Raw genomic sequence first — 15267 nt, forward strand, 5'->3', positions numbered from 1 at the left:
ATTCTTAGCTCACCACTCACTCAATCTTTTCCTTACTTGCCCACTCTCCAGCTTCCTGCAGGCTATTTCATGCTAATCTTTTGTTTTAGCTAATTCAATCCTGATTCTTTCATTGTTTCCTGACTCATTCCTTGCTCTCCACACACCAGGGAACAATTTGTTTCTCACCTATTGTTCGGCTTCCAGTCAATCTCTTGCCAGTCATACATTAACATTTGCAAACAACCACATTTATAGAGAAGTATTATTTCAAAGGGGGTTGTTTATCAACTTCCTGAATTTATGCCCGGTCTAGACAAAAATTCTCTGTGGAGTAGCAACCACTCATGTGGTCAACGGATATTTATTGAGCACCTACTATGTACCAGGTACTGTGCTAAGCACTAGGTATATGAATGAGAATGACAGTCCTGGTCTCTGGCCTCAGAGAGCTCACAGGCTAGTGCAGGAGTCAGACAAGTAAACAAGTCATTTGAGTTTAATGTGAAGGTACCATTAGAAGAAAGCACAAAGTTTTGTGGGAGTAAGTGAAGGGGCAGCAAAACTCAGACTCGATGAGTGGGTGTAGTCGAGAGGCCTTCCAGAAGCAGCAATGCCCCAGAGAGGGCGATATTTAAGCTGAGGCCTAAGGAATTAGTAGAAAGTGGGGAAGAGTTCCCCCAAGTGAAGAGAATGGTATCTCTTCTGGAGGAACTGACAGAAGTTTAATATGGCAGGAACATGGAGTGTGAAGAGGGGACTAGCGAGTGTTGAGGAATGGAAGATGAACCTGTTGAGAGAGGTAGCAGCTTGATTGCACCGGTCCATATTTCAGGCCAGGTTTTGACTTTACTCCTTTGGAAAAAAATGTGAAGCCACTGAAGAGTTTTCAAGAGTTACATGTCATATCTGTATTTTTAAAAATCCTTCTCATTGTTTTATAGGGAACAGATTAAACGGGAGCAAGAATTAGACACAAAGAGGCCAGTTGGGATGCCCATACAGGAATCCAAATGAGAGAAAATGGTGGCCCAGGTAGGATGATGGCAGTGGGGATAGAGCAAGCTGGAACAATGCAAGAGAGATGTAGGTGGTAGAATCAATAGGAATTTGTTGGTGATTGATCAGATGTAGGGGCTAAGGAAGAGGAAGGAGTCAGTTTCCAAAGTTCTGCTTAGCCACTTAGGTGGTTGTTAAATGCTGTGCACTGGGATAGGGAGTACTGGAGAAGGGGCAGGTGTAGGGAGGAAGAAAAATAGTTTATTGGCTGGGCGCGGTGGCTCATACCTGTAATCCCAGCACTTTGGGAGGCCGAGGCTGGCAGATCATTTGAGGTCGGGAGTTTGAGACCAGCCTGGCCAACACGGTGAAACCCCATCTCTACTAAAAATACAAAAATTAGCTGGGTGTGGTAGTGGACGCTGTAATCCCAGCTACCTGGGAGGCTGAGGCAGGAGAATTGCTTGAACCCAGGAGGCAGAGGTTGCAGTGAGCCAAGATCGTGCCATTGCACTCCAGCCTGGGCGACAGAATGAGACTCCATCTCAAAAAAAAGAGAAAGAAAATAGTTTATTAAGTTTTGAATATGTTGATTTTAAAGTGTCTGCAAAACATCAAAATAGATATATGAATATTCAGAACTGAAGATCAGGTAAGAGAGAGATGGCATCAACTGAATAGAGCTGGTCATTGAAGCCATGAGGGTGGACGGGATGGCCCAAGGACAGTGTATAGAGAGAAAATGAGGAAGGGGGCTGAAGAAAGAGGCTTGTGGGACCCCAGTCTTTAAGGGATGAGATGAGGAATAAGAGCATAGAATCTGTCTCATAGTAAATGCACAATAAACATTGCTGAATGAATGAAAGAAGACCGAGAAAAATAGTCTAGAGGTAATCAACTCTCTTTGGGATGGGGAGAAAGGAGAGACAAGGCTTCAAAGAGGAGGTCAGGCTTGACCTAAATCATGAAGAATGACTGGGAGTCTACCAGGACGACAAGGGAGAAAAATTTCATGTCAAGAAGAAGAAAGAGCATGTTCAAAGGCTCAAAAACATAAAAAGTTATGGCCTATGCATATGAATTCTTCCAGACTCCACCTGTGTCTTTCTCCCTTAGGATCTGGCTATGTATCTTTAATGCATCTTAATATCCTTAATAAATCACTGTAATAAATCTTAGCTATGAGTATCAAAAAACCCCACAAAAGTCATGGTGTACTCAAAGATTTTCTGATTTACTATACAGGCATCTTACTCTTATTTTAGATCCACGTTCCTGCTTTCTTCATAACCGAGGGAGCCTGAGTTCAGAATGATAAATACATTTCATGCTGCACTCCAGCTGAATAGTAGGGATTGTTTGGAGTGTGCTGTCAAGGAGTCTGTGGCTGCAAATGGATTTAGTGGTAGACATGAGTGCCATGATTGATTAGCAATATCTGCTGTAGGTGAAGGAGAAAGAAGTTGTAGCATATGTGCCGTTATGTTTGTCATACTGGCCTAGACTTTTCCCTTTTTATTTATCCTCTTCCTCATCATCTGAACCCTGGGTGTGAGGATGGGTTCTCCTCCACTAATCATGAATTGGCAACTCTCCACTTCCAAACAATATGGTCTTCATGAGAGAACGAATATTTGCTGAGAACTTATCCACTGATCAAGCATTGACTGAGTATGTACTTTATGCCAGAAACTGAAATTAGTCCCTGGGGATTCTATATAGAATACATGATTGTCTGCTCAGTCAGATATCATTGTGTTGAACCAAACGGGATGAAGCCCAAATTTTGGGGTCCATGTTGAAATAAAGCATGGCTATCTTTATTTCCAGAACATGGGCAATGGCCAGATTTAACTCCAAGGCACCAGCATGCAGTAAAGTTCTGTTTATTGTGATCTAGTTCTACTTTTTTACCTTAGCTTCTGCTGTGTTTACTGGCCCAGTGAACACAGAAAAAAAGAGCTGTTTGCTTTTACAAAGACTTGTAAATCATACAAGCATAGTGAGCACAGTCTAGCACACTTTTTCTCACATTGTAATGGCTTAAAGCTTGTTCTGTGTGTCTGCTCTTATTTATACTGTACCTCTCATCTTTCTGTTTCTGCAGAAACCCCTGTATAGGTTCTAATTCTCACTGCAGGATTGTTCTGGGTATTGTGTGGTGAAGATCTTGTCATATCGCAGACCTGCAGTGAGTGATAAAGAGGGCTCACTTAAATCCTTATAGAAGGCTCCAGGGCCAGTTCTGGAGACTCAAGAGTGGCAACGTTCCTCTCCAGCAAACTGGCTATGAGCTAGGTTATTGCTGTAGGCTAAACACTAGAATTGAAAGTGTGAACCCTTTCAAGGCCTCTGAAATTTGAAGCAGCAGAGTGAGGTTTTTTAGCAGCTGCTGGTTGGAAATGGGGAGGCAAAGGTAAGAGAACTTGGGGGCTGAGACATTCAGAGGGCCTCATGACCAAGCAACAGGAGGGGTGCAAGGCAGGGCAGAGGGAAAGGAAGACCATGTGAAGCTGCCAAGTCATATCAGCTCATCAGTGCATCTCAGTTACCTGGGTGCGAAGAGACCTGCTATTGATTGTAGTGTGTTCTGCATGTGAAAGGTGTGGAAGCAGGGGGAAATCCTTGAGAACCACTGGCCTAAACAGTGTTTCTATTTCAAGGAGAGGGCTTGGGGACTCAGTAAAGAAAGGTTTTCATTGCTTTTACTGGGGTTGTGGAATTCAAAATCTATAGTGTAGAAGCCTGACGCTATGCTGTTACTATTTTCCGTAATTATTTTCTGTTTTCCCTCGGGGTTTAGTAAAATTCCTTTAGAGAATGTAAACTGTGCTATGGAAAACCAGAAAATGGGACTTTTTTTCAGTGTGGACCTGAGTTTTAAAGGACAGCAGGAAAGCCTAGAGGGTGAGGCATCATTCATTCATTAATCAAAAGAGTTACATATTTTCATATGTTGGGCACTGTGCTAGGTGCTGAAGCTTGAAAGAAGAATAAGACACATCAGGGAACTTAGATTCTAATAGAAGGAGACATTCATGTAAACAAGTAGGTGCACTAAATAATCCAAATGGTTCTGAGATATAAATATAATCTTAATAGAGGCTGGTACCATAGGGTAAGTAATGCTAGTTGCTGTAATAGATGCACTCCCAAATTTAAGTGACTTGACATAACAAAATGTATTTCTTGCTCACATCAGAGTTTATTGTGGGTCAGCTTGGGAAGGGAAGCTCCACTCCACAAAGTCATTTAGAGATACAGACCTGTTTCATCTTCCACTAAAGATCACTAAAAATCACCTATCTGGTGCATGGAAAGAGAGCCAGAGTGGAGAAGATGGACTCTCCAATACCATTTTGGCCCAGAAGTGACCCAGCATGTGGTCATGCGGCCTCATGTAGATGCAAGGGGGCTGGGAGATACAGTGTAATGACATGCAGAGGAGGATATTTGAAACAGGGTTTGATGAACATGTAGCCAGACTCTGCCACAGATGGAATGGACAGTTCTACTTGGAAGGGGCAGGAGAGGCTTCATAGAGGAGGTGACAACTGCATGGAGTATCTAAAGAGAAAGAAGTGTTGGGTATTAGTGTGGAATAATGCCATAGGAAAAATGAAGCCCCAGAGGATGAATTGGGATTGTTACTACAGCCATTTCTTCCCATCTGGAGAGTCTCTTTCCAGAATTCATTTGACTTAAATCATTTAAATCTTCTCCACTCCATACCCATCTTCTTCTTTCCTACTCATTCTGACAGTCTCACCTTAAATGCCACTTAATCCAGGGAAGTCTTACCTGATCGGTAGACTAGGCGAGGTTCTCCTGCTGTGTGATTCCATGATGTCCATTGTCCTTGTTGAGATGATTTAAATGTCTATCTTTCTTATGATACTGTAAGTCCCTTAAGGTCAGAGAACATGCCTGGTTTTATTCATCATTGTATCTCTTGGGATTAGCACTGTGTCTGTCACATAGTAGGCCTTTGATAAGTATTCATTGAATGACTAAGTTTGCCTTCCCAAAGCATCCTTTCCTACAGCACTTTTCTCAGTTATTCATGTGGTTGGTCAGTCAACAGATATTTCATCCTCATTAAGTGCTAGGTATTCTTTTGTATACTGGAGTTAGTGATGAATAAACATTGTCTATTTTTGTTTGATCATAAGTGCTTTCAGAGAAGGATAGAGTGGCCAATTCATTCTGGTTTGCCTAGCGCTTTCCTGGCTTTAGCATAAAAGCGTCATATCCCAGGAACCTCTCCTCACTACCCATTCCCCAGTCCTGGGCAACCCAAGACAATTGGTCACCCTAGAGTAGGATCTGATTCTTTTCTCTACCCTAGATATCTAGCACCATAGCAGTATTCCTGATACATGATAAGTTTTCAACAAATAATTGTTGAGTGTCGGTGGGTGAGTCAGGAGATGATGTAGATGTGGGTTTGGATAAGTGGCTGGTTGGGTGAATGGATATGCTTGTTTTGGAACTTTTCAGAATCTGGAAAAAAGGAGAAGAGACACTTGGAGATTTAAAAACACTCAGGTAATGTCTACAGCAGAGGGCTGGGAGGGAGCGGGACAGCCTTTCAAGAGCTTAAGGTAGTAGCACTCTTCTTTGGGTGCTTGTCTGAATGTTACTGGTTTGGAGTTACCAATGGACCCAGAAGATAAATATCAGGGTGACATGACAAATAAAGTCCTCATCCCACTTTGCTAGTCACTAGTATTATTATGCCCTGGCTATGTCCTCAGGGGAGGTCAGGGTATAAATTAATATTTTCAAGACCTTGCTTTGGGGAAAAAATGCAATAAGCTTTGAGGTTATTGCATGGAGGAGGGGTGTGGAAAGGTGAGAAAATAGCCACAACTACATAATTGCAGCTAATTATATTTTTCAAATGATTTAATGTAATATAGTTAATAAAATTGCATTTATTTTTTTTCTGCCCAGATTCCTGGTGAAGAGGGGTCAACCTTTTCAAATCATTATTTTAAGTACATTATAGTAGCTTTGTATTTTTAGAAATTCATTCTCTTCTGTCTTCAGGGATGCCCTCCAGCCCTACCCCTACCCTGCTTCCTCAAAGATGAGTCAGTTTGGGGAAGTCTTTTCAGACACCTCCAAACACTCAGAGTACTCTGTTCCTACCTTTTTATGGCAGCTACCCCTGAATATTACTGTGAGCTATAAGTGCCTTCTCTCCCTATTAGATGGATACTGCCTTGAGTACCGATATAGATTCAAATATCTACCCTGTCACTTAATACCCGTGTGACTTTCAGCTGGTTAGTTAACGTCTCTGAGCCTCAGCTTCCACTTCTATGAATGGATAACATTGTTTATCTCATAGGATTTTTATAAGGCTTAAATGAGATAACATAGGAATCTCTTATCACACTGCCTGGCACAAGTGGGCCTTTGATAAATGTTAGTTGCCCCCTTCCCCTTCTTTAAGGAAGTAACTGTGTGTTTTTCAATGTAATTTTGAATCTCCAGCACAGGGCCTGGCACACAGTGGGCTGCAAGTGTTTGTCAAATTGAACTGTCAAAGAACTATGGTCATTTTGATTACAATGACATAGTGTAAAAGGTGGGAAACACTATTAGGGGAGGCTGGTGCAAAAATATTTGCAGAGTGAAACACAAGCCATGGCCAGCTCATTAATTTCTGTCTTTACTGTTTCAGTGTTAACTATGTTAGTGTCCTTCTACCTCTTATTTACTCTTTTGTTCATATTGTACCACTGGCATACTTATATCTTAACAATTAGCATATTATACACACTATGATAGAATCATATACTTATATTTTGTCTCCCTGACCAGATTATAAATTCATTGAGTACACAGAATGTGCTTTATACATCTTTGTGTCTCTTGTACCTAAAATAATGCTTGGCATATACAGTATGTGCTTATTCAATGTTTTCTTAACATTGGGTTGTTTTCACCTACTTTAGCATATCTACCTTTGGTAAGAAACTGCTTCCCTAATATGAATCATTTCTCTTCACTGAACTGAAGTTTCTTTTGAGGGTGGAAGCCATGTTTCTCCTATAGGGCCCAGCATAGGGTCAGGCCCACAGTGGGTGCTAATTGCATATTTAATTGACCCACACAGGTTCTTCCATAGTAGGGATATCTTTATGATATCATAAAGAACATTTCTGTTGAACTAAAGATTTACAAGACTCTGATATGGTCTCTTAATATTATACCATATCAGATAAAATTTGATTTCAGTACAACCAAAGAACAAATAACAGTTTTCTTTCTTTTGAAAAAAGAAAAAGAAAATAATGTTACTGTTTTTATAAAAATTAAAAAGCAACAAATCACTTCAAATCACACCATCCAGAAATAATCAGTGTTAATATTTAGTGCACATCTTTTCAGACATCTCTCTATGCACATATTCAGAAAAGAGATAGATGGATGGCTAGCTAGATAAAAGTGATTTTATGAAAATGGGATCATAGTGTGCAGGCCAGTTTTATTAAAAAGTATTGTTTAATTTTACTTGAATTTAGCAGAAGACTCAAATGAAACCACAGGAATTGACAACCTTTGGATAAATATTATGTCACTTCAAGAGATACTGACTCCGCACTACAGAAGATAAGATTTTCACTGTTATACCTCCTCTCACCTCTTTCCCAACTTCCAGGTTTTTATTAGTTATGTCTTTACTCTGTCAATGTTGTTAACTTTTATATGCTGCTCTGCCACCAACATTACCCCAATTATTTAGGGGATGTATATATAGCATATAGTATAAATATTTATTTATTCACTTAAATGAATTCAATGCTCCACCTCTATTCCTTTATCATGGCCTCTCTACTCCCAGATTTTTACATTTTATTTTTCTTTTGGTTGGCTGGATTACTTAGAAGGTCTTATGAATGCTGTATTTCTGAGTTCTGTTAGTTGCTTTTTTATTTGAAAAAGTAGTCGACTGACTGGCTGGGCACGGTGGCTCACGCCTGTAATACCAGCACTTTTGGACGCCGAGGTGGGCGGATTACGAGGTCGGGAGATCGAGACCATCCTGGCTAACACGCGGAAACCCTGTCTCTACTAAAAATACAAAAAAATTAGCCGGGCGTGGTGACGGGCTCCTGTAGTCCTAGCTTCTCAGGAGGCTGAGGCAGGAGAATGGCGTGAACCCGGGAGGCGGAGTTTGCAGTGAGCCGAGATCGCGCCACTGCTCTCCAGCGTGGGCGACAGAGCAAGACTCCGTCTCAAGAAAAAAAAAAAAAGTAGTCGACTGGGTATGATATATTTGAGTGTCACTTAAACTTTCTCTCAATATTTTATAGACCTGTACCATTGTCTTTTGATATAGAATATTGCCGTGAAGTCTAAGGCCCGGCTGATTTTTCCTTCATATAAAAATCTTGCTTGTTTTTCTGCCTATACATCTAAATAGTTATTTGTTTATCCTTGATATTCAAAACCTTACTTACCATAGGTCTCAACTCAAGTCACTCTTAAATTTTTTCTAGAGCATAGTATGCCCTTTCTGTCTACAGATTCACTTCTTTAATTTCAGAGAAATTTTCCTCTATTATATTCCTAAATACCTTTTCTGTACAATTTGTTGGCTTCTCCATAGACTTTAGGGATCCTAACCAGCCTAGTTAGATTGTCTTCATTTTCCATAACTACTGTCCTGTCTATGATTGAATTAATCCCTTTGTCTTTTACCTTTGTTTCACTATGATTATCACAATACTTCCTTTCATGTCAGTGATTTTATTTTCAGTCATGGCTATTTTGTGCCATGCTGTTTCTATGTAATTTATGTATTAGTCTGTTTTCACGCTGCTGATAAAGACATACCCAAGACTGGAAAGAAAAAGAGGTTTAATTGGACTTACCGTCCATGTAGCTGGGGAAGGTCTCACAATCATAGTGGAGGGCAAAAGGCACTTCTGACTTGGCAGTGGCAACAGAGAATAAGGAGGAAGCAAAAGCAGAAACCCCTGATAAACCCATCAGATCTCATGAAACGTATTCGCTATCACGAGAATAGCATGGGGAAGACCAGCCTCACTGATTCAGTTACCTCCCGCTGGGTCCTTCCCACAACACGTGGGAATTTTGGGAAATACAATTCAAGTTGAGATTTGGGTGGGGACACAGCCAAACCATATCATTCCACCCCTGCCCCTCCCAAATCTCATATCCTCACATTTCAAAACCAATCATGCCTTCCCAACAGTCCCCCAAAGTCTCAACTCATTTCAGCATTAACCCAAAAGTCCACAGTCCAAAGTCTCATCTGAGACAAAGCAAGTCCCTTCTGCCTTTGAGCCTGTAAAATCAAAAGCAAGCTAGTTACTTCATAGATACAATGGGGGTACAGGAATTGGGTTAATATAGCCATTCCAAATGGGAGAAATTGGCCAAAACAAAGGGGTTACAGGGCCCATGCAAGTCTGAAATCCAGCAGGGCTGTCAAAGTTTAAAGCTCCAAAACGGTCTTTTTTGACTCCAGGTCTCACATCCAGGTCATGCTGATGTAAGAGGTGGGTTCCCATGGTCTTAGGCAGCTCTGCCCCCATGGCTTTGCAGGATACAGCCTCCTTCCCAGCTGCTTTCACAGGCTGGCATTGAGTGTCTGTGGCTTTTCCAGGCGAATAGTCAAAGCTATTGGTGGAGCTACCATTCTGGGGTCTGGAGGACAGTGGCCCTCTTCTCACATCTCCACTAGGCAGTGCCCCAGTAAGGACTCTGTGGTGGCTCCAACCACACATTTCCCTTCAGCACTGACCTAGCAGAGGTTCTCCATGAGTGCCTTCGCCCTTGCAGCAAACTTCTGCCTGGGCATCCAGGCATTTCCATACATCTTCTGAAATCTAGGCGGAGGTTCCCAAACCCCAGTTCTTGACTTCTGTGCACTTACAGGCTCAGCACCTTGCGGAAGCTGCCAAGTCTTGGGGCTTGCACCCGCTGAAGCCATGGCCCAAGCTCTATGTTGGCCCCTTTCAGCCACAGCTGGAGCTGCTTGGATGCAGGGCAGCACATCTCTAAGCTGCACAAAGCACGGGGACCCTGGGCCTGGCCTAGGAAACCATTTTCTCCTGGGCCTCCAGCCTGTGATGGGAAGGGCTGCCGTGAAGACCTCTGACATGCCCTGGAGGCATTTTCCGCACTGTCTTGGGGACTAACATTTGGCTTCCCGTTACTTATACAAATTTCTGCAGCTGGCTTGAATTTCTCCTCAAAAAATTGATTTTTCTTTTCTACTGCATCATCAGGCTGCAAATTTTCTGAACTTTTATGCCCTGTTTCCCTTTTAAAATAGAATGCTTTTAACAGCACCCAAGTCACCTTTTGAATGTTTTGCTGCTTAGAAATTTCTTCAGCCAGATGCCCTAAATTATCTCTCTGAAGTTCAAAATTCCACAAATCTCTAGGACAGGGGCAAAATGTCGCCAGCCTCTTTGCTAAAACATAACAAGAGTCACTTTTGCTCCAGTTCCCAACAAGTTCCTCTTCTCCATCTGAGACCACCTCAGCCTGGACCTTATTGTTCATATCACTATCGGCATTTTTGTCAAAGCCATTCAACAAGTCTCTAGGAGGTTCCATACTTTCCCACATTTTCCTTTCTTCTTCTGAGCCCTCTGAACTGTTCCAACCTCTGCCTGTTACCCAGTTCCAAAGTCACCTCCACATTTTCAGGTATCTTTTCAGCAACGCCCCACTCTACTGGTATTTACTAATTTACTGTATTAGTCTGTTTTCGGGCTGCTCATAAAGACATACCTGAGACTGGGAAGAAAAAGAGGTTTAATTGGACTTACAGTTCCATGTGGCTGGGGAAGGTCTCACAATCATGGTGGAGGGCGAAAGGCAGCAAGAGAGAATGAGGAGGAAGTAAAAGCGGAAACCCCTGATAAAGCCATAAGATCTCGTGAGACGTATTCACTATCACGAGAATAGCATGGGAAAGACTGGCCCCCATGATTCAATTACCTCCCACTGGGTCCCTCCCACAATACATGGGAATTCTGGAAGATACAATTCAAGCTGAGATTTGGGTGGGGACACAGCCAAACCGTATCAATTTATTAATGCTGAAATGCTATTGTTTGGTTCTTACTATGTTTCTTTAGTTCTGCCATCTCCTCATTCAGTTATTATCCTGTCTTTTAATTCTTATTTATTGAATTCATATTTTATTGAGTTCTAACACTGAAAAACTCAGAGCATTCTTACGTTTCTTGGATTATGTTTCCTTCCACATGTTTTTCTAAGTGAATTTTAAAATTAGGATCATTGTAACTTCATATACAGTTTTAAGAAATAATACAGGGAGATCCTATGTAACTTTTGCTAAATTTTCCCCAAAGGTAGCACATCTTGCAAAACTATAGTATAAAATCGCAACCAGGACATTGACGTTGACACAATTCATCCATCTTATTCAGATGTCCTCAGCTTTGCTTCTAGTCACTTTTGTGTGCAAGTGCATGCGGATGCGTGTGTGTGTGTGTATGTGTGTGTTTTTAACCTCTATGCAATTTATCACCTGTGTAGGTTTATGTATCCACCACCACAGCCAGGATACAGAACAATTCCAACACCACAAGAATCCCTTGTATTGCCCTTTTATGACCACACCCTCATACCTCCCACTTGACCCTCACCATCCCTAACCCCTGGAAACCACTAATTTGTTCACCTTTAGAACTTTGTCATTTTGAGCATGCTATATAAATGGAGGTATACAGTATATGACCTCTATGGATTGGCTTTTTTCACTTAGTATTTCCTGGAGATCTATCCAAGTTATTCCATGATCAGCAGTTTGTTTTTTTAGATTACTGAGTAGTACATGCTATAATATGGGTGTACCACAGTTTGTTTAACCATTCACCCATTGAAGTACATCTGGGTTGTTTCCAGTTTTGGACTATTATGGGGAAAGCTGCTACGAGCATTTGTGCACAGGTTTTTGTGTGACTATGAATTTTCATTTCTCTGGGATAAATGCCCAAGACTGCAATTGCTGCTCCATATGGATTTAATCTCTTGTTTGCATGCTATGTTTTTTCCTTTTTCTCCTTTGGTTGTGGTGGTATGTTGGCATAGTAGCCATGCCATTTCTTTCCCCCTTTGCCTATGCTTAACATGGGCAGGTCTGGCCAGAACTTCTATTCGCTTTGATATAATTTGATTTAATTCTCCATGACACCTTTCTCAGCTTATCTAGGACCCTTTTCTATTCCCCTCCAAGGTCTTATTTGAAAGCAGAATGTTCTGTTCAATTCATTGTTCTGTAGCCTTCAGATAAAGTCTGTGAAGGGCAAAACTCAGCTAAGCCTGGCCCCTCTTTGCTGAGGGGCCTGGACTCTTTTCTCTGTTTTCTGATGTTTTGTTAAATGTCCATAGATGGCCCACTTCCACCTGCCAGTGGCATAGTCCACTCCCAAAGCTTTGGCTCAATACTTCTAAGAAACAGGGAAATAGGGAACCTCAAGAAAATGGCAAGCCCTGGCAGCCCTGCCTGCTTTGGCTGAGATATTGCAGTAATATGTTAGAGCTTCTCCTCTTGAGGACATTTGCTGGACTCTTCCTAAATGCTCTGTTTCTGAACTCCTCCCCCTCCATCCCACAGTCCTGTTGACCACTCTCCAAATTGGTGGATTTCACTGATGGATAACTTACAGGAGTTTGTTGACTTGTTTTTTTCCCTAAGTGTTGCTTCTAGGGGTGGGAACAGAGTAAAGAACATTGTAGCAATGCCCCGAGGCCCTTTAATTTTCTTCCCTGGCTGCTGCCTTTGGGAATTTATAGTTTGAAGTTTTACTCTTTTCCTTGTTTGCTGCTGTTGAAATCGCTAGCATCTTTCTAATTATGATTTTGTGTGTGTGTGTGTGTGTGCGCATGTGTTCATTTTGTTAGATATTTGGCAGTGGTGGTAGGATATTGGGTAAGATTCTCTAGGTCAGCTTTATTCTGTCAACTTCTTCAGGAAATCTCAAATGGTGTTTTCTTAACTTTTTCATGCTGAAGGGCCTGAAGCTGGAGAAGAATAGCCCTTTTGGGAAGGTACGGAAATATAACAGAGTTGGGCAGTCACTGCCTCCAGGACCTGGAGGGGAGAACATAAGTTAGGAAAAGCTGACATGGCACACTCAAACATGGAATTAACCTGGGACCCCTAGCTGCATATGAACCTTTCTCTCCTTCACTCCCCTTATCCAACTTTCCCCAAGTTCTGTCGATTTGCCTCCAAATTCCTCCTCACATGTAACTCTTCTTTTCTGTCTTACTGTCATTGCCTTTAGTCAAATCCTTGTCATATTAAATATTGTAGAAATCCTTTATTCTGGATTTCTACAGTATTCTCCAAACAGGGTTCCATGTCTCTAGTTTCTTCCGCATGCATGCCATCCTCCCTACACTGCCAATTTGCCTAAAATAACACGTTGACACTTTTGACACAATGTTAGTTTTCCTAAAACACCACTTTGTATATACCCTCTCCTTTTGAAGGTCATCAGAAACCTTCCAATTGCCAAAAAAAAAAAATTTAAACTTCAAACTTCTTAACATGGTCTAAAATATTAAGAGCAGCTAATATTGATATGGTACTTACTAAATGCGGGAACAGTCTAACTCATTTTTTACATACTGAATGATTTCATCCTCAAAACAAATCTTTGGGGTGATGGTTGTAATTATCCTTATTTTACACGTGAAAAAAACTAAAGCAAGAGAGGTCTCATATTTTTCCCAAGGCCACACCGCTAGTAAGTTGAGGAAATGGGATTTAAATGCTGGCAGTATGGCTCCAGAGTCCATTCTCTTAAGCCAGTCCATGACATTGCTTCCCTACAATGTCCTTTTTTATCTGCCATACTAATTACCTGTGTAGCTTTATCACTCTCTCCTCACCACCCATGTACCTATATTCTGGCCACATCATGCTACTTGATATTCTCTGAACATACCATATTCTTTCATGGCTCTGCTCCTTTTTACATGTTGTTCTCTCCATGGACCACTCTCACCCCTTACCAAACCTGCTTGGTCAAGTCTCATTCATCATTGTTTTCTCCTGCTCCTTTTTGCTAAAGTGCAAATCTAATTTTGCAATTTAAGGTTTGCCCTTCAGTGAGGCCCCATGACCTCTAGGATACACCCAGGTTTCTCAGCACAGTAGATAAGGCCCTGCAAGATCTAGTCCTTGCCTATCGCTCCAGCATCATACTTTCATCTTTCCCAGTCACACCTCATATGCCACTCATACCAAACTACTTGGAATTTCTCAAACACATCATTCTGTTCCATGCCTCTGTGCTTTTGTCCATATTCTTTTTCTGATTGGAATCCCTTGCCTACCTGGAAGACTCCTACGCATGCTTCAAGACTTAGTGCAATCATCTTCTTTGTGGTGAAGGCTTCCCTGCCCTGATCTGACCTCCTTTATGTTCCTTGGAGAATAACTGGTTATTCTCTTCTCAGTGTCATCCATGTACCTTGTACATTACTTCTGTTATAGCATTTATCACACCATTGCACAATTTTTTTTTATTTTTTTATTTTTCAGACTGGTTATATCTGCTTCAGATGCACAATTTTTTTTACACAGCTATCTTCTTTATTAACTTACTTGAGGGAGATGATAGTATTTTTATTTCTTTAAAGTTTACTCTCACTTGTATCTGGCACATAAATGGCACTCCAACTTACATGTTGGAGGAATGAATCTTAATAGCCCCAGTGTCTAACACAGTGCTAGGACACAGTAGGTTCTCAGTAAATATCTGTGTAATTAGCAAATAAATGTATAAGCTTTTATCTTACTGTTATTTGCTCTCCTTCTAGGCACTTCCTACTTCTTCAAGCAGATCTTTTAGTGGGAGCTCCCAGTGCCTCTGAGCTAGCTTGTGAGTCTATTTTCCAGTGTAAAAGTTTACCTGGAAGGGAATAGCATGACCTTAGACAACATGGCTAGAGGAGAAGGGCTGGGTCAAGCTGGGAAGAGCAGAGCAAGGTAGAATATTTGCCAGCACCTAACAGGTTTTGGTGTGCTAGGGTAGCTCTGCAGATATGGCTAACTCTTCCTAAGGCAATGATTCCCAAACCTGAGTGGACAACACAATTGTTGGGAAATAATTCTCCATGGTGTCTGCATATTTTGTGAGCAGTGGCACTGACTTTCTTTGTTACAGACTATATTTTCAAGGATGTTTGTACAGAAAACAGCCTTGGAAGACAGAGATGGTGTCTCCCTCCAAAACAAAGAGCAGGGTTATTTCT

The 15267-nt window shown here is 41.4% G+C and overlaps 1 annotated feature.

Moving 5' to 3' along the window:
- Window positions 10782-10982: a silencer, noted in NCBI's record as "peak7391 fragment used in MPRA reporter construct". NCBI's record gives its function as "represses an SCP1 promoter by STARR-seq MPRAs in K562 erythroleukemia cells {active_cell/tissue: K562}" and the evidence as "EXISTENCE:reporter gene assay evidence [ECO:0000049][PMID:32103011]".

This window comes from Homo sapiens, chromosome X, assembly GCF_000001405.40.
Source record: "Homo sapiens chromosome X, GRCh38.p14 Primary Assembly".
In the NCBI taxonomy this organism is placed as follows: Eukaryota; Metazoa; Chordata; class Mammalia; order Primates; family Hominidae; genus Homo; species Homo sapiens.